The 19,619-nt window shown below is 39.5% G+C and overlaps 1 protein-coding gene across 2 annotated transcripts, besides 4 other annotated features; it reads left to right on the top strand.

The window, feature by feature from the left end:
• Positions 42-431: an enhancer, noted in NCBI's record as "active region_25468". NCBI's record gives its function as "activates an Ori minimal core promoter by ATAC-STARR-seq in GM12878 lymphoblastoid cells {active_cell/tissue: GM12878}" and the evidence as "EXISTENCE:reporter gene assay evidence [ECO:0000049][PMID:35858748]".
• Positions 161-18,651, top strand: TBP (TATA-box binding protein). 2 transcript variants are annotated; one of them, NM_003194.5, is made up of 8 exons: positions 161-255; positions 2,674-2,875; positions 7,583-8,025; positions 10,337-10,424; positions 12,710-12,801; positions 15,404-15,571; positions 17,202-17,296; positions 17,978-18,651. In NM_003194.5, exons 2-8 carry the CDS (start codon positions 2,822-2,824, stop codon positions 18,055-18,057), a joined length of 1,020 nt encoding a protein of 339 aa, NP_003185.1. In that variant the 5' UTR covers positions 161-255; positions 2,674-2,821; the 3' UTR covers positions 18,058-18,651. The 2 variants fall into 2 exon arrangements, with proteins under 2 accessions (NP_003185.1, NP_001165556.1); NM_001172085.2 differs by lacking the exon at positions 2,674-2,875.
• Positions 7,699-7,809: a tandem repeat.
• Positions 7,699-7,813: a biological region, named in NCBI's record as "TATA-box binding protein repeat instability region".
• Positions 7,700-7,813: a repeat instability region, noted in NCBI's record as "repeat instability region; expansion of the (CAG/CAA)n trinucleotide repeat is associated with spinocerebellar ataxia type 17". NCBI's record gives the evidence for it as "EXISTENCE:polymerase chain reaction evidence [ECO:0000082][PMID:10484774, PMID:11448935]".

Genomic DNA, 19,619 nt, shown 5'->3' on the forward strand with positions numbered 1-19,619 from the left:
GCCCCGGAACTCCTCAAGAGCTTCGCCCCTCCTTACCTATGGAAACACAGGAAGTGACCTATGCTCACACTTCTCATGGCCTCGGCCCTAGTGGGAGCAACTCGCTGAAGCCGAGGGCAGAACTGGCGGAAGTGACATTATCAACGCGCGCCAGGGGTTCAGTGAGGTCGGGCAGGTTCGCTGTGGCGGGCGCCTGGGCCGCCGGCTGTTTAACTTCGCTTCCGCTGGCCCATAGTGATCTTTGCAGTGACCCAGGTAACAGATTGTACTCTTTTCTGACGGTTCGGGCGAAGGCCACCACTGCACTGAGGCCTGGGGGCAATGGTGGGGAAGAGACTAGGAATTGGCGCGCGTGCAGGCCCCTCGGGGGACGTTCCTCCCTTTCGTGCTGCCGCCGTTCCGGCCTGTAACGGCCACTCGGCCGCCACTCCCGCCTGGTGCCCTACTCTGCTGTGTTTCGCAGGCAGCTTCCCATCGTACGATTGTGGGGCTCAGGGTACTACTGGCTGGCTGGGCGGCGGCAGGCGGGACAGGACAGTCCCTTGCATCGAAGACCCTAAGTTTACCCTGCCCTGTCCTGCCATCCGCTTCTTCTCCATGTTAGAAGCAGATTCACCCAGATCTGTGCCCGCCTGTTTTGCTGCCAACATTGAGACTTAAATATTTTGTCAGAAGCCTGAGACAGCGGGCACGGTAGCGCTTAAGATATAATACACACCACTTTATTTGCAGGGTCTCCCGTCTCTCGGTTCAGGCCATCATGGTTTTCCAAATCTCTAGGTAGACTTTTCTGTGAAAAGACTGTGCTTCATTTAGTTATACAGACACTAGAAGGCTATGCAGAATTAATTTGATTGCCTCCAAAAAATATCGGATTTGATGTTTCAATTTCCAGGAGATGAAGATACCCAGCAAACAACTCTTTTCTGAGGATAAATTAGTGCAGTAATCACTGTGCGGTTTCTTCTGTAGACTTACTTGCAAAAAGTGGCCTGAAGCCACCGAAGGTCCTGGATAAATCTCTAATCATACTTATAATGGCTTTAAATCCTGCCGTCATTATCTCTTGCCTCAACCTTAGATTCCTGAAACGAAACTTCCGTCCTCCAGTTTTACTCCTCTCAAATTCATCTAGTCTTGCCAAATTAGATCTGTTCATACTGCACTTCCGAAATTCCATAACTGTTATTATTGCCTATGCAATAACATTGAAAACTCCTGATAGTATGAGCCCACCAATATGTGCTGTCTCATCTGCTGCAGTGACCTTCTATACAGTCATACTAAGCTTGTTGCCTGCATACTGCATGCTTTTTCAATCTGTCTCTTTCTGCTTGATTTCTCTTTTGTCTGAAGCCCTGATGTGTAAATTCCTACTCACCTTGTGAGACCCAAGTTAGATGGTCCCTGCTTTGTGAAAACACTGCGCTCTCTTCACAGTGATTGGCTGTTAGTCTATATTGTCTTCTCTTCCAGGGGTGTATATGGGCTCATTCATGATCACATACTGTATTCCAGGCATAGTGCTAGATGCAGAGATCACAAAGACATGTAGGCTGGTTTCTGCATTCAAGGAACTTAGCTTAGACCATACCTGCTGTTATAATACTATGTTTTACAGTAGTTATTTGCATACCCTTCATATTGAACACTTTGATGCCAAGGACTATATCCTCCTATCTTTATATCCTCATCTGCAGGACTTCTGTTATTGTTATTATAGGATAACTGTCAAAAAAAAAGTATATTTTAAAAAATATCTCTGATATATTTATTTCCAGAAGCAGAGCTTGCTTTCTTTTTTGGTCTGTTTTTCAGTGATGAGTATGTAGGATAGATAGTCTTTGGGGGCCTTTGCCCTTTCAAAGTGATCGTCAGAGTCTTTCATACATTCAGCAAATATCTGAGTGTCTGTTCTGTACCAGCACATGCTTGAAGTGCATATGCCTGAAGGATCTTTGGACATATAATTTGTAACTTTGAGACCTCTAAGTTCTATGTGAGAATATGTTGTTATAAACTCATTTCAGATGTGTAGTGAGTAAAGCGATGATGATTTAAGAAAAGTCAGATAACAGGCACAGTTTGCATTAATGTGTTCTAAAGAGGTAAGGTTATTACATTTATAAAAATTCAGGGCTTTATCTTTGTGCGGCTTTTTTTTTTTTAACAGTTTCATTACAGTAGGAGCTTGATAAATGATCACTCTGAAGTATATTGGATTGAATTTGATATTTACTTAATTTTTTGCCCAAGACATTGTAGAGGATGTAAAATTGGAATATTTAAAGATCTAAACTTTGCCTAACAGTGCTGTGTATACAGTGCTTAGTGAATATTCTGCTCTGATATTACATTTTGCTTAGGAATTATTTTTCTCTAGGTGTTTTTCCTCAAAAGTTTTTAATGCTGGTTATGACAGCTCGATTTTGAGCATTTTCCGATTATTTAAACATGTAACAAAATGATTTTTGTTTTGTTGGCGATTTTACATGCAATCGCCGGAAACATGGAAGGAATAAAACTTTAGGATTATAAGGTAAAAACAAATGTATTCCAAAATAGCTTCATTGGTTTTCATGTTTGTGTTTTGTATAGCCATAGAACTGGCTTATAGGACTGTACAGGTTACCTGGATCCTTAAATTAAACTTTAGACTTTTTTCCAAAGCAGCATCACTGTTTCTTGGCGTGTGAAGATAACCCAAGGAATTGAGGAAGTTGCTGAGAAGAGTGTGCTGGAGATGCTCTAGGAAAAAATTGAATAGTGAGACGAGTTCCAGCGCAAGGGTTTCTGGTTTGCCAAGAAGAAAGTGAACATCATGGATCAGAACAACAGCCTGCCACCTTACGCTCAGGGCTTGGCCTCCCCTCAGGTAATATAGCAGGAGGGAGAGAATAGGGAGGGCGGAAATCTGAACTGCAAGAGATGGTATCAAAAGGCAAGGAAGGGCATTTAATGATCTGTTTTTGAAAATGGTTTAATATGTTTTTTAAGCCTTATTTTGTTGAGAAGTTCTATTAGGCTTTGAATAGGCACAATGGTGTTTATTTGGGAAGTCTGGAAGCTAAGTTATATATTTATGAAACACCTAATCTTTTGATAAACACTTATGAGAATGTTCCAAATGACTATATAGGGTCTTTGATTTTGAAAATCACCCTCACCAAATTATTTTCTAGTTTTATTTTTCCCCTTTTACATTTCAAGCTCTCAACCACCCATCTACTTTAAAAATTTTTCAGCCTGGGTGCAGTGGCTCACGCCTGTAATCCCAGCACTTTGGGAGGCCAAGGTGGGCGGATCACCTGAGGTCAGGAGTTCGAGACCAGCCTGGCCAACGTGGTGAAACCTCATCTCTACAAAATATACAAAAATTAGCCAGGTGTTGTGGCGGGTGCCTGTAATCCCAGCTACTCGGGAGGCTGAGGCAAGGAGAATTGCTTGAACCCGGGAGGTGGAGGTTGCAGTGAGCAGAGGTCGTGCCACTGCACTCCAGCCTGGGAGACAGAGCGAGACTCTGTCTCAAAAAAAAAAAAAAAAAAAAAAAAATCAATAACTTTTGTTGAAATATACATACAAAAAAACTCATTTTAAGTGTCTGTTTTGATAATTATATATAATGTATAAATTACAGAACATTTCAGTTACCTTAAAAAGTCCCTTCTTCCCCTTTATAGTCACTCTGCTGGCCCCAGGTAACTACTGCATCTGCTTTTCAATGCTGAAGATTAGTTTTGTCTATTCTAGAATTTCATATAGATGGAATCAGAGTGTATGCTTTTTTGTGTATGTCTGACTTCTTAGCCCAGTGTACTGTTTGTATATCAGTAGTTAATCCATTGTATAGCTAAGTATCACTCCATTGTTTGGATGTTCCACAGTTCATCCATTCTCCAGTTGCTCACATTTGGGGTCTTTCCAGTTTGGAGCTATTGCGAATAAAAGCACTGTAAACATTTGTGTAGACTTTGAATGCACTGTTTTTACTTCTCATGGGTAAATACTTAGGAGTAGGATTGCTAGGTCCTATATTGGTATATGTATAACTTTATAAGAAACTGCCAAACTGTTTTTTGAAGTGGCTGTATTGTTTTGCAGCATAAGAGATTTAAGTTGCTCCACATCCTCACCAACACTTTCTGCTGTCAGTCTTTTTACTTTCACTCTAGTGATTGCTTAGTAGTATCTTATTGTGGTTTTGATTTTTATTTGCCTGATTACTAATGTTTCTGAGCACCTTGGCAAGTGCTTGTCAGCCACTCATACACAGGCCCACCTCACTTTACTGCACTTCACTTTACTGCATGTTTGACAAATTGAAGGTTGTGGTAAACCTGTACCCAGCAAGTCTGTTGGCATTATTTTTCCAAAAGTGTGTACTCACTTCATGTCTTGGGGTTAGATTTTGGTAATTTTTGCAGGATTTCAAACTTTTTCATTATTATCCGTTATTGTTATCAAACTTTTTTTTTTCTTTTTTTTTGTATTTTTTTTTTAATTTTTTTTTTCAGTCACTCTGTTGCCCAGGCTGGAGTGCAGTGGTGCAGTCTTGGCTCACTGCAAACTCCATCTCCCGTGTTCAAGCGATTCTCCTGCCTCAGCCTCCCAAGTAGCTGGGATTACAGGCATGCGCCACCACACCCAGCTAAATTTTGTATTTTTAGTGGAGACGGAGTTTCACCATGCTGGTGTCAAACTACTGGCTGCAAGTGATCCATCCGCCTTGGCCTCCCAAAGTGTTGGGATTACAGGCATGAGCCACTGTGCCTAGTCAAACCTTTTCATTATTATCTGTTATTGTGATCAGTGATCTTTGATGTTACTATTGTAATTATTATTGAATGCCATAAACTGCACCTGTATAATACAGGAACTTAATTGATAAATGTCTGCAGCGTGACCAACCATTCCCCCATCTCTCTCCCTCTGCTTGGTCTTCCCTATTCCTTGAGACACAACAATATGGAAATTAGGCTAATTAATAACCTTACAGTGACTTTTAATTAAGTGTTCAGATGAAGGGAAGAGCTGCACATCTCTCATTTGAAACCAAAAGCTATAAATGATTATACTTAGTGAAGAAGGCATGTTGAAAGCTGAGACAGGCTAAAAGCTAGGCCTCTTGCACCAAATAGTTAGCCAAGTTGTGAATGCAAGGGAAAAGTTCTTAAAGGAAATTAGAAGTGCTACTCCAGTAAACCCACAAGTGATAAGAAAGCAAAACAGCCTTATTGCTTATATGGAGAAAGTTTGAATGGTCTGGATAGAAGATCATACCACCCACACATCCCCTTAAGCCAAAGTGTAATACAGAGCAAGGCCTTAACTCTCTTCAATTCTGTAAAGGCTGAGAGCGGAGAGGAAGCTGTAGAAGAAAGTTTTGAAACTAGCAGAGGTTTATTCAGAGCTTTAAGGAGAGAGGCCTTCTCCACAACATAAAAATGCAACATGAAGCAGCAAGTTATCTGGAAGATCTAGCTGAGATAATTGATGAAGGTGACTATACTAAATAATAGATTTTTAATGTAGATGAAACAGCCTTCTACTGGAAGAAGATGCTATCTAGGACTTTTATAGCTAGAGAGGAGAAATCAGTGCCTAGCCTCAAAGCTTCAGAGGACTGGCTGACTAGTTAGGGGCTAATAGAGCTGGTGAGTTTAAATTGAAGCCAATGCTCATGTTCTGCTCTAAAACCATAGAGCCTTAAGAATTACGCTAAATCTACTCTGCCTGTCCTCAGTAAACAGAACAACAAAACCTGATGAGAGCACGTCTGTTTACAGCATGATTTACTGGATATTTTAAGCTCTTTGAGATCTGCTCAGAAAAAAAGTTTAATTTCAAAATATTACTCACTGACAGTGTAACTAGTTGTCCACAAGCTCTGATGGAGAAGAACAAGGAGATTAATATTGTTTTCATGCCTGCTTAAATAATATATCCATTCTTCAGCCCATGGATCAAGGAGTAATTTCAACTTTCAATTCTTACTATTTAAGAAATACAGCAGGGCATGGTGGCTCATGCTTGTAATCTCAGTACTTTGGGAGGCCAAGGTGGAAGGATCACTCAAAGCTAGGAGCTCAAGACCAACCTGGGTAACAAAACAAGTCCCTGTTGCTACAAAAAAAAATTTTTTTTTAATTAGCTGGTCATGGTGGCATGTGCCTGTAGTCCCAGCTACTTGGGAGGCTGAGGCGGGAGGGTCACTTGAGTCCAGAAGTTAAAGGCTACAATGGAGACCCTGTCTCAAAGAAAGGAAGCAGGGAGGGACATATGCTGTAGCTGCCATAGATAGTGATTCCTCTGATGAATCTGGGCAAAGTGAATTGAAAACCTTCTGAAAAAGATTCACCATTCTAGATGCCATTAAGAATGTTCATGATTCATGGGAGGAGGGTGAAATATCAACATGAATAAGAGTTTGGAAGAGGTTGATTCCAACCCTCGTGGATGACTTTGAGAGGTTCTAGACTTCAGTGCTGGAAGTTACTGCAGGTGTAGTGGAAATAGCAAGTGAACTAGAATTAGAAGTGAACCTGAAGATGTGACTGAATTGCTGCAATTTTTTGATAAAACCTGAACAGATGAGGAGTTGCTTCTTGTGAGTAAGCAAAGAAAGTGGTTTCTTGAGATAGAATTGACTCCTGGTGAAGAACTGATGACTTTAGAATATTACATAAACTTAGTTGATAAAGCAGCAGCAGGGTTTGAGAGGATTGACTCCAATTTTGAAATAAGTTCTAGTGTGGGTAAAATGCTGTCAAATAGTATCATATGCTACAGAGACATCTTCAGTGAAAGGAAGAGTCAGTCAGTGTGGCAAACTTCGTCAGTCTTATTTTAAGAAATTGCCACAGCTACCACCCTGATCAGTCAGCAGCCATCAACATCGAGGCAAGATCCTCTGTCAGCAAAAAGATTATGATTTGCTGCAGGCTCACATGATTGTTAGCATTTTTAGCAATAAAGCATTTTTAAATTAAGTTATATACATATTATTAGACATAATGCTATTGCACACTTAATAGACTTTAGTGCTAACATAACTTTTGTAGGCACTGGGAAACCAAAAAATTGATGCCGCTTGCTTTATTGAGATGGTCTGGAACCTAACCTGTAGTATCTCCGAGGTATGCCTGTATCTTCATTTGTAATATGTCCTTCACATCTTTTGCCCTTTTTTATTATTTTATTTGTTGATCTTCTTTTATGGAGTTGTCAGAGCTCTTTATTATTCTGTTTACCAGTCCTTTCTCAGATGTATGTATTATAGTTATTTTTTTCCCAGTCTGGCCTGCCTTTTAATTTTCTCAATGGTGTCTTTCAAAGAACAGAAGTTTTTAATTTTTCCGAAGTTCAGTTTATCCATTTTTCTTCATGTTTATCCACTGTGTGGTATTAAAGAAGAAAGCAATGTGTATAAGAATAGCTGGTTCTTCCGTAATTAATGTTTAATAACCCCATTATTCTCCGAAGGCATCTGTCTTTGCACACCTGACCTGCTGTTCCACCAAGAAAGTTCCACAAACACTTAGCAGCAGCCAGCCTAACCTGTTTTTCTCCTTGCTTTCCACAGGGTGCCATGACTCCCGGAATCCCTATCTTTAGTCCAATGATGCCTTATGGCACTGGACTGACCCCACAGCCTATTCAGAACACCAATAGTCTGTCTATTTTGGAAGAGCAACAAAGGCAGCAGCAGCAACAACAACAGCAGCAGCAGCAGCAGCAGCAGCAACAGCAACAGCAGCAGCAGCAGCAGCAGCAGCAGCAGCAGCAGCAGCAGCAGCAGCAGCAGCAGCAACAGGCAGTGGCAGCTGCAGCCGTTCAGCAGTCAACGTCCCAGCAGGCAACACAGGGAACCTCAGGCCAGGCACCACAGCTCTTCCACTCACAGACTCTCACAACTGCACCCTTGCCGGGCACCACTCCACTGTATCCCTCCCCCATGACTCCCATGACCCCCATCACTCCTGCCACGCCAGCTTCGGAGAGTTCTGGGATTGTACCGCAGCTGCAGTGAGTACTTCGTGTTTTATGTTTCCTCCCACTTAGGAGTCCCTTTGAGTTATGTTCCTGCTCTGTTTTCAGATGGATCCTTTTATTAAGGGAGGGAGTGGCACTAACGGTAATTGTGTATCAAAATTTGCTTTATCTCACATTTGGGAAAGGGAAGCAAAGCTATCTTAGTCAGTGTCCTCAGTAAAAGGCTCTTAACAGGTTTAGAAATGTGGTCATTTGTGTTTACATACCTGAGCCAATAAAATTTAATCTGACTTTCACTGTCGTTATTATTATATTATAGACATTTCCCTGTATCTGATATCGCTAAATCACAATGTTAGGTAGTCTCTTTCCCTTATGCTATTTTAGGTCTTTAGTCACAATATCAGTATAATTTCTGGTAGTTCTTGTTTTTTGTTTTTACTATGGGTGCTGCATATAAATCTTTGAAGGTCTGTGTCCTTCCCACAAAATGAAGACGACTGTTTTTGTCATAAATGGATTTTTCTACCTAAATGAAGTGGGTTCTATATGTAACAGTGTAGTAGGGGTAGGAAATAATTTCATCTTCCTGAAAAACCAGCAAATATTTCCAAATAATTCCAGTCAATAAGAAGTGTATAGCTTTTCATTTTAGAAAGCTTATGACCAAATTAAAAGGTTACTTGCAGTCTCTGCATCTCCTCAGTTTTCTTGTACAGATACCTTCCTCCTTCATACTCCCTTTAGATCTAGTATTTCCTATTTGCATTTATTCACCTTGTTACATATATGGTTGTTGTTTATAAGCTATCTCTCATCATTTTTGGAACTAAGTGGTGTGTAATCGTGGATGCTGACTTTCACCCAAAGACCTAAATCTTGCCTCCACAATTTTGTTTGACCCCACACACAATTTTAAAAACAAAGTAATTTTAGTGATTTTAGAGAGAGCCCTTTTTAGCTCACCCTTGTCTATACCACTCCCATGTGTCCAGCATGCTTGTCTGACTCCCAGGAATATTTAAGTTTGCATTTCTGATTTAAATAATAAATTATAAACAGTACAGTCAGGTGTTTGTTTCTTGCGAGTGCCTTTGCTGTTCTGATACTCCCCAGAGCATCCAGTCATCCACATTCCTGAATTTCCACTATCTACTAAGAACCCTCCCGGGTGGTAGTTCAGTGCCCTCTCCATCTTGTAGGCTTAAGAGGGATTAAGGTAAATATTTAATTAATGAAAATATATAAGAATACATTTAACAATTATGTGACTAAAGTTGTGATAGATATACTAAAATCTACTTGGTATAGTTCATAAGTGGACAAATGCTAAAGGCAGGTGTGTATACAAGGGTGATTGGAAGGAAATAGATGATATGGAAATGAAAACATTCATTGTGTGGATCAACCTAATTGGCTTTACAGTTGTGTATCATAGACTGTACAAGAAAAAGAACCAGAAGCAACAATGAGCTGAAACCTATTGTATTTGAACCTATGTATTTGAAATCTGGACTCGATATTCTTGGGATGGTGATTTCCAGGTCCATGCGAGACAGTTGTTGAGCAGTTAATTGCATTCAAAGGGCATTGCCCATTTCAACTATATATACTTTCATAAGCAGAAAAATGTATAATGAAAATGTGGGTTTGTTGTTTAAATTTTTATTAAAATTTCTAATAGAGTTGCTTTTTAGTATATCTTTATCCTTGTATAAGTTATTCGTTAAGTGATTTAAGAACACTGAGAAATGAAAAGGGTCAGTGGACCCAGATGGCTCCATTTATCCTTATTTACTGAGAGTTAATTAGAAGAGAAAGCAGGGTTTTGCCTTTTTTTTTTGCTAAAGACACTTAGCTCTTGTTTTTCAAAAGATACTTACTTTGAGAGAACTGGGCAGTTCATGCCTGCTTGTTTTCATTATAAATAGTTACTTAGGAATAGGGTGGTGGTGGTAGCTTTTCAGAGCTCACAGATGAGAATTGAGTTTGTCTGTGAGAAGGCTAAGGGCAGGCTCTGGAGACAGACAGACTCAAATCCTGGCTCCTCCACTTGGGAGCCATTGCGTCCTGAGCAAGTTGCACTCTACCTTTAAGCCTCAGCTTATTTATCCAAATGTGGGAATACTGGTAACTTCTACCTCAGTGCGTTATATGTATTAAATGGAATAATCTATATAAAATGCTCAACATGTGCATGATACTTGTTAAACAATAAATGTGAGCAATTAAAAAAAAGTAAAGCCTGGTTGAAATAATCAGATGTCTGCATAATTTCTAACGCCTCATCCAATGAAACTTAAGTAATTTAAATAGTCGTGTTTTCTTTTTAAATCTCTTACAGAAATATTGTATCCACAGTGAATCTTGGTTGTAAACTTGACCTAAAGACCATTGCACTTCGTGCCCGAAACGCCGAATATAATCCCAAGGTTAGATCTATTTTAATGTATTTCTTTTTTTTTTCTTTTTTGTCTCCTCTGCCGTGTCTCTATATTTTAATGTATTTCACGCTATAAAACAAATGTCTGTAGATCAGGCCAGGCACAGTGGCTAATGCCTGTAATCCCAGCACTTTGGGAGGCTGAGGAAGGAGAATTTCTTGAACCTAGGAGTTCACCACCAGCCCAGGCAACATGGCAAGACCCTGTCTCTTAAAAAAAAAAAAAAAATTGGCCGGGCTTGGTGGCTCACACGTGTAATCCCAGCACTTTGGGAGGCCGAGGTGGGCGGATCATCTGAGGTCAGGAGTTCAAGACCATCCTGGCCAACATAGTGAAACCCCGTCTCTACTAAAAATACAAAAATTTGCCGGGAGTGGTGGCATGCGCCTGTAATCCCGGCTACTTGGGAGGCTGAGGCAGGAGAATCACTTGATCCTGGGAGGCAGAGGTTGCAGTGAGCGGAGATTGCGCCATTGCATTCCAGCCTGGCAACAGAGCGAGACTCCGCCTCAAAAAAAAAATCTGTATATCAAAGAGTTTGTGTTATGCTTATTCCTTGACACCAATAAAATGAAGATCTAAAGTAAAATGTGCATTGTTTTGTATCTTTTATTGAGTGTCTGTGATATAAGAATCCCTGGGAGTACAGCAGTCTATAAAATAAGCTAAGTTATATATGTATTGTATTGGGATCATGTGAAGAATTTTGTATATGTATAGGGATGATGTTAGCCAGCTATAGTAGGCAAAGTAATTTGGATAAACATTAGCTGGGTTGAGAGAAATGTTAAGTAATGGACTTAGGGTGCATTTTAAAATCCCTGAAACATAATGCCTGAGATCTGAAAGACAGCTAAGGGTCTGAAAATCACCTTTTAACCACTCATAATGAGTCTGTATGACATGTAGCATTCTAAGAATTAATCTTTCATCTATTATAATCACATTTAGTTGAATACATAATTTTATTACTTTACGTTCTTAAGTGATATTTAACCAATAAAAATAGTAGAGGAAATTCTGGAAATTCAAAATAGCTAGGCTTTTCCTGGGACGTATATAAACTACTATATACTGCTAGCTTTTTTAGATGTTGATAAAATCACAGGGAAGACATAGAGCAGGTTTTAAACTAAAATTGTTAAAAGCCAGGCATGGTGACTCAGACCTGTAATTCCAGCACTTTGGGAGGCCAAGGTGGGAGGATCACTTGAGGCCAACAGTTCAAGACGAGCCTGGGCAACATAGCAAGGCCTTGTTTCATCAGAAAATTTAAAAAATTATCTGGGGTTGGTGGCACACACCTATAATCCCAGCTACTTGGGAGGCCAAGACAGAAGGATCTCTTGAGCTCAGGAATTCGAGGCTGCAGTGAGCCATGATTGCACCACTGCACTCCAGTCTGGGCAACAAAGTGAGACTCTTGTCTCTAAAAAAAAAAATTAATAAAATAAAAAAATAAAATTGTTAAAGCAATCTAGTTTGTCAAAGAGTCGTCTTAATTAGAAACATGTAGGTTTTTATTGTATAATTAAATGTATTAAAATATTTAAGTTGTTTCAAAGTAATTATTTGCTTTTTATCATGTACCTAATAACTGAGGCCATTAATTCAACCCACAGTTGAAATATTTTCCCCTTGAGTTACCACCTTAGCAAGAAAATTTTCTGAAAGAATTAACATGTTTCAAGCATAAAAAGCAGAAAATAAAAGTTAAAACTGTGTTTTTTTCCTAATTTGCATTTATGTGTTTAATACATTAATATTGTTTCTAAAGACCAATTGAAAGCATGATTTTACTTCATTACGTATTGATAGGCTTGTAATCTGATTTATTAATTCCATTAAGGTAGAAAAGGTTTATTGGTTTATTTGCCTCAAAATTCATATTAATAAAACAAAATGTATCAGAGAAGCTATAGTCATGATAAGCAGCAAATATAAAGTAGAAACAGAAGCACTTGTATTTATTGAGAACATAACCAAATTTTGCAAACATTTCTCTTGATGGAATGCTCATGTGAAAGAACATACAGATTTGGTATAACTTAGTCACAATTGATTATTTTCTGCTCCTTATGCAAAGGAATATTTGTTACATGTGGTGTATGCAAATCCTTTACAGATATACAGAAATACAGAACAAATATTTTGATAACTAGATGTACTATGTCCTTCCTACCAGTTGTGATTTTTTTGTCAATGGGTGGTTCGCCTAACAACATTGAGCAGTTTGGCATGACCTCACTAATGATTCTCTCTGACCATTGTAGCGGTTTGCTGCGGTAATCATGAGGATAAGAGAGCCACGAACCACGGCACTGATTTTCAGTTCTGGGAAAATGGTGTGCACAGGAGCCAAGAGGTAGCCGTAAGAAATTCATTCTTCTGGTCTATGGGTTATGAATGAAAAGGTGATATCTCATTGTTTTTAGGTTATTAGGTTAGCACTTTAACATGTTATTATTGCTTTCTTATAAAAACCATTTTAATATGATTCTATTAATTATTTTTATTTATTTATTTATTATTTGATTCTATTAATGTTAGATAGCAGTGATTTCATTTTCTTAAAAATTAGATATGGGCAGGCGTGGTGTCTCACCAAGGCGGGCAAATCACTTGAGGCCAGGAGTTCGAGACCAGCCTGACCAACATGGTGAAACTCCATCTCTACTAAAAATACAAAAATTAGCCAGGCGTGGTAGTGGATGTCTGTAGTCCCAGCTACTTGGGAGGCTGAAGCACGAGAATCGCTTAAATCCGGGAGGTGGAGGTTGCAGTGAGCTGAGATCATGCTACTGTACTCCAGCATGGGAGACAGAACAAGACACTTTCTCCAGAAAAAAGAAAAAAATTAGGTAAGATGTAATACAACATCAGAACTATTAATAAAATTCCCTTTATGTGAAAAATGTTGTAAATAACACAAATACATCTTGAAATGGAAGAAAAAATTGATCAAGAATTAAAACACTTCTAAGCTAATGGTGTAAGGGCTTTGCAGACCTTATTGGGCCTGGCAGCGTGACAGCATCACATGTGTTGGCTGCAGAAACCTGCCTTCTCACTGGAACTAGCTTTCATTAATAGTGTTTGAGTTGTGCAGATCTTAAGGAATGCACCCTTGTTATAAAATGTCATTGCCTATATTCTCCATCTGAAGTGATCCTGTCTGAAGGTTAGTACTCTGCGGCCCTGACTGTTCTAAACAGAGCTTATATACTTGGTAGAAGTCAAAAACTAGGGGGAAAATTAGTGACATTAGCTTCATAAATGAACTGAACAAATAAACTAAAACTTTTTAAATGAAAGAGTATTAAATGTACTTGGAGGTATCAACACATAGAAGGGGGCTGTGGATATTTTTGCTTATTCTGAAGTTTGAAATTGTCTTTCAGTGATGGGAATGCCATTGGTGTGGACATTCTGGCTCCTGATCTCCGAGGTTTTTCAGAATGCAGGACAAGGATGTGTTCTTGCCTTTCACTTCCCCTTGGCCACAACATGCAGTAGTAACCTCTTTAATTAAGAGCGTTTTTGTTTGCTTGTTTTCCCCTGCATGGAACATCAGAAACTTTTGGTTTATCAAGGCAAGCTTTTCATGCAGCATTTAGCCTTTTTGTCCCAGAGCATCTGAAAACTGAATATTGTATATGTAGTTGGATGACTATTTCATCAAGACAAGAAACCACCAATACATTTACCTGAAATTTAAAAGCGTAGCATATATATATATGCTTGATTTTTGTTCTTCCTGATCCCCTGCACCTGATAGTCTCTTTATGGTAATATTTTCACATTCTTTTTTGTTGTTGTTGTTGTTTTTGAGATGGAGTCTCGCTCTGCGCCCAGGCTGGAGTGCAGTGGCATGATCTCGGCTCACTGCAAGCTCCGCCTCCTGGGTTCACGCCATTCTCTTGCCTCAGCCTCCCGAGTAGCAGAGACTACAGGTGCCCACCACCATGCCTGGCTAATTTTTGTATTTTTAGTAGAGATGGGGTTTCACTGTGTTAGCCAGGATGGTCTCAATCTCCTGACCTCATGATCCGCCTGCCTCAGCCTCCCAAAGTGTTGGGATTACAGGTGTGAGCCACCGTGCCCGACCTGCCTGCCTGCCTTTTTCTCTTTTATTTTTTCTTTTTTTCTCTTCTTTCTTTCTTTCCTTTTCTTTTTTTTTTTTTTTTTTTTTTTTTTTGGTGGAGTCACCTAGGCTGGAGTGCAGTGGCACAATCTTGGCTCACTGCAACCTCCACCTCCCAGGTTCAAGTGATTCTCCTGCCTCAGCCTCCCAAGTAGCTGGGATTGCAGGTGCCTGGCACCATGCCCAGCTAATTTTTGTATTTTTAGTAGAGATAGGGTTTCACCATGTTGACCAAGCTGGTCTCGAACTCTTGACCTCAGGTGAGCTATCCGCCTTGGCCTCCCAAAGTGCTTGGGATTAGAGGCGTGAGCCACCATGCCTGGCCCACATTCTGCTTTTCTTATGTAAGCTCTGAACTGCTAAGTCGTAGTTTATTCAACAAATGACATAGGAATGTCTATTCATGATGAGTCTTGGTATAAAAGAGGATAGAATTAGTGAATACATTGTTCAATAATAAATCTCATCAACATTTTCTGATCAAAATGAAGTTTGTTAGTTTTCCTCTCAGTAGAAATGCATGGGCTAAAATACAGAAATAGTGATGACTGATGATGGTGATAATTCACATCCATAAAATCTAGGGCTACAATAATTTGGCGGATTGAAAGGTCATTTTGGCAGGCCTACAGTTTTCTGTCAAGGATCCAGGAATACTTTATAAGGAATTGTGAATGCCTGTCAGTCTTTTCTCCTATTGCAAGAAGGCTGACCAGTTTACACTTTATTAGTTTACTGTTTTGGACTTTTTATAAGTTATTAGTCTAAATAAGTATTTTAGCTGGCTCTGAGTATGAATAACTCACTTTTTTCCTTTCCCTAGTGAAGAACAGTCCAGACTGGCAGCAAGAAAATATGCTAGAGTTGTACAGAAGTTGGGTTTTCCAGCTAAGTTCTTGGACTTCAAGATTCAGAATATGGTGGGGAGCTGTGATGTGAAGTTTCCTATAAGGTTAGAAGGCCTTGTGCTCACCCACCAACAATTTAGTAGGTAAGTCTGAAATGTATTATGATTGTTATTGGCAACAGTTCATTTATAATCTAAACATTGTTCAGAATAAAACACATGCAAAATATTCAGTATATGAGAACAGTTGACATGGTTATAGTTGTATGTATTCTTGCATTGTCTTCCTGATGTTCTCAGTCATATTTATCACCCTCACCAGCCTCTGCTTCCCTTATCACTTTGCGGTACCCATAACTCCCCTTTACTGGAATGAATTTGATTCTACTTCTGTATGTTTTATCGTTTTATTGCTGAATACACTTGGAATGCATGAATTGACCCTAACCTTGTATCAATTTTTTTTCCCAGTTTGGATCTTCTCTTTTAGTCAACATTGTGTCAGATCTACCAGCAAAGTGTGAAGTTGAGCGATAGGAACAACTTTCTAATTATCTTCCCTGCTACTTGCAGGTGAAGACTCACAGGCAGGCAGCCCTGCCCACCTCACTGCTTCATCTCATGGTCTTCTGGTGTCTGTTCACAGGCACATTAGTTCTGTGTGCCCCTGGGGCTCACTTGGTTCCTCCTGCCCTAGGCCTTTGCACTTGCCACTTTTATGCCTAGTATGCTCATTTCCCTTTTCACCTAGGAAGCTCCCACTTGAGTTCCATATGTCTACCCATTCCACTCTTCCTCAGAGAAGCCTGTCCTGAATTTTGTCTTAGGTCAGACACACAGAAACAGAGGCATCCTGTTTTCAGTCTCTCCGAACTGAGAAAAATGAGATTACTAGGCTTAGAAGAATATGTACCAGGCCTGGCCTGGTGGCTCACACCTGTAATCCCAGCATTTTGGGAGGCCGAGGCAGGCAGATCAGTTGAGTTCAGGAGTTCAAGACCAGCCTGGCCAACATGGTGAAACCTCGTCTTTACTAAAAATACAAAAATTAGCTGGACATGGTGGTGCATGCCTGTAATCCCAGTTACATGGGAGGCTGAGGCAGGACAATCATTCGAACCCAGGAGATGGAGGTTGCAGTGAGCCAAGATCGTGCCACTGTACTCCAGCCTGGGCGACACAGCAAGACTCCGTCTCAAAAAAAAAAAGAATATATACCAATAGTCCATTCAGTCAGACAGCTTAATCAGGTATAGGTTAATTCTCAGGCTAGTATATAAGTTTGATTAAATTTCCTGACCACAATTGTCAGCTAGAGAATATTTCAATTTAAGGAGGTAAGATATGATTAAAAGTTAAACTGTCAGTATTGGATCTTAGAAGTAAATGATTATTAGGACTGTAATAGTAATTATTAGGACTGTAAAAGTAAAGGATTATTATCTGCATTAGATATCATTATATCTAATGATATAGAGACTGCAGACATAACTACAGGGCTCTTTTTCTTAAATCAGAAAATCCAGATTCAATAGAAATAGGGTAAAGTGATAGGAGGACAAATAGCCTTCCATCCAGTGGTTATCAACTGACGACTACAAGTCGGCCTCACTTGCTTTAATTATTCTATTCTATCCTTTGATGCTGCTTGAAGAACTGTGTTTTACCTCTTGACTAGTTTGTTTATTCAGTATTTTTCCTTGTACAGGTCCTCATTTTATCTAAAAGCACACAAAGCTCTTGATTTCTAAACTTTTTGCAATTTTCCTTCTAGTTATGAGCCAGAGTTATTTCCTGGTTTAATCTACAGAATGATCAAACCCAGAATTGTTCTCCTTATTTTTGTTTCTGGAAAAGTTGTATTAACAGGTAAGTTGTAACAGGAAGTAGTATCTGAAAGTTTGTAAGTGTTTTGAGTATGGCATTTTCTCAGTGCTGAAAAGAAATTTCAGTGTTCGGACAGTGGGCTAGCTTCTTGTACAAAGGCCTCCCACCCAAAGTCTGATGAGAAACGTGCCCACTAAAGGCACAGTGAGAGCAGGGAAGTCTGACCACAGCTCTGCAAGCAGACTTCCATTTACAGTGAGGAGGTGAGCATTGCATTGAACAAAAGATGGCGTTTTCACTTGGAATTAGTTATCTGAAGCTTTAGGATTCCTCAGCAATATGATTATGAGACAAGAAAGGAAGATTCAGAAATGAGTCTAGTTGAAGGCAGCAATTCAGAGAAGAAGATTCAGTTGTTATCATTGCCGTCCTGCTTGGTTTATGGCCTGGTTCAGGACCAAGGAGAGAAGTGTGAATACATGCCTCTTGAGCTATAGAATGAGACGCTGGAGTCACTAAGATGATTTTTTAAAAGTATTGTTTTATAAACAAAAATAAGATTGTGACAAGGGATTCCACTATTAATGTTTTCATGCCTGTGCCTTAATCTGACTGGGTATGGTGAGAATTGTGCTTGCAGCTTTAAGGTAAGAATTTTACCATCTTAATATGTTAAGAAGTGCCATTTCAGTCTCTCATCTCTACTCCAACTTGTCTTCTTAGGTGCTAAAGTCAGAGCAGAAATTTATGAAGCATTTGAAAACATCTACCCTATTCTAAAGGGATTCAGGAAGACGACGTAATGGCTCTCATGTACCCTTGCCTCCCCCACCCCCTTCTTTTTTTTTTTTTAAACAAATCAGTTTGTTTTGGTACCTTTAAATGGTGGTGTTGTGAGAAGATGGATGTTGAGTTGCAGGGTGTGGCACCAGGTGATGCCCTTCTGTAAGTGCCCACCGCGGGATGCCGGGAAGGGGCATTATTTGTGCACTGAGAACACCGCGCAGCGTGACTGTGAGTTGCTCATACCGTGCTGCTATCTGGGCAGCGCTGCCCATTTATTTATATGTAGATTTTAAACACTGCTGTTGACAAGTTGGTTTGAGGGAGAAAACTTTAAGTGTTAAAGCCACCTCTATAATTGATTGGACTTTTTAATTTTAATGTTTTTCCCCATGAACCACAGTTTTTATATTTCTACCAGAAAAGTAAAAATCTTTTTTAAAAGTGTTGTTTTTCTAATTTATAACTCCTAGGGGTTATTTCTGTGCCAGACACATTCCACCTCTCCAGTATTGCAGGACAGAATATATGTGTTAATGAAAATGAATGGCTGTACATATTTTTTTCTTTCTTCAGAGTACTCTGTACAATAAATGCAGTTTATAAAAGTGTTAGATTGTTGTTATACCTTGTAAGAGTCATGTGATCATACTGTTTTCTACAAAGTTGTATTTTAGATATAATGCCTGAAACCATTTTGGTGTTTGCTTCAGTCAGTATTTCATTGTATGCTGCAATGAAAACAGATTAATGATCTGAGAACCTTCCATATATTGAGCAACTCCTGTTTTCTAGGTATTTTGCATACAATGCCTGGAATCCTCACAAAGCTTCAGTTACGTTTTGTTCCTCTGTTGGAGGTGAGGAGATAAGGAAGCCCCAGCTGAGGGACTTGGCTGAGGTTACACAGCTAGTAAGTGGTAAAAATGAGTGAGTCCTTCAGGTGTAGAAGCTGGTGCCCTATCCACAGGCTGCCAACTCTCTGCAGTAACTTTTTTTTGCTTGTTTTGCAGTTTTTTTCTCATGGACTATCAGGTGGACATTTGTGGGTTCTTAGGTTTTATTGTTAGAGTGGTTTGTTGTTTTTAATTGTAAAAGTACATCTTCAGCTGACTCAGGAATAAAATCAGAAAGGGGAGGTCCTTCCTTCCTTTCTCTTCTGCCTCTTTCCCCAAGATAACGACCAGATTAGTGGGTATCTTCTAAGCCCTGTTCTGTCTATCTTCTGGGCATGGCATTTGATCCCATTTTTGGAAAAAAGAAATAATACATTCAATTTTATAGCTTTCCCTTTTTTCAGTCAATATATCATAAACCTATTTCCATGATTGGGAATCTAGGATACTCTTCTTAGGTACCTTCACTTACTGAGCTATTCCTGTAATTATGGTCATTTACATGACCTCTAGTTTTTCAATATCATCAACAGCGCTGCAGGGAACATCCTTGTATGTGTATTTTTCGGATGAGTGCAGGTATTCATGTAGTAAACTTTCCTAGAAGAGGAACTAAAGACTATACATTCTGAGTTTTAATCAGTTGATACCAGATTGCAGTCCAAAGAGAACGGTGCATGAAATGC

The sequence above is a fragment of the Homo sapiens genome, chromosome 6, assembly GCF_000001405.40.
Source record: "Homo sapiens chromosome 6, GRCh38.p14 Primary Assembly".
Taxonomy (NCBI): domain Eukaryota; kingdom Metazoa; phylum Chordata; class Mammalia; order Primates; family Hominidae; genus Homo; species Homo sapiens.

What these genes read in the sequence shown, in the direction of transcription:
- TBP (NM_003194.5), top strand. Translation starts at nt 2,822, where the DNA reads ATGGATCAGAACAACAGCCTGCCACCTTACGCTCAGGGCTTGGCCTCC. An exon ending in GGGATTGTACCGCAGCTGCA is followed by an intron (nt 8,026 to 10,336) that starts GTGAGTACTTCG and finishes AATCTCTTACAG; the next exon opens with AAATATTGTATCCACAGTGA. An exon ending in ACCCACCAACAATTTAGTAG is followed by an intron (nt 15,572 to 17,201) that starts GTAAGTCTGAAA and finishes TTTTCCTTCTAG; the next exon opens with TTATGAGCCAGAGTTATTTC.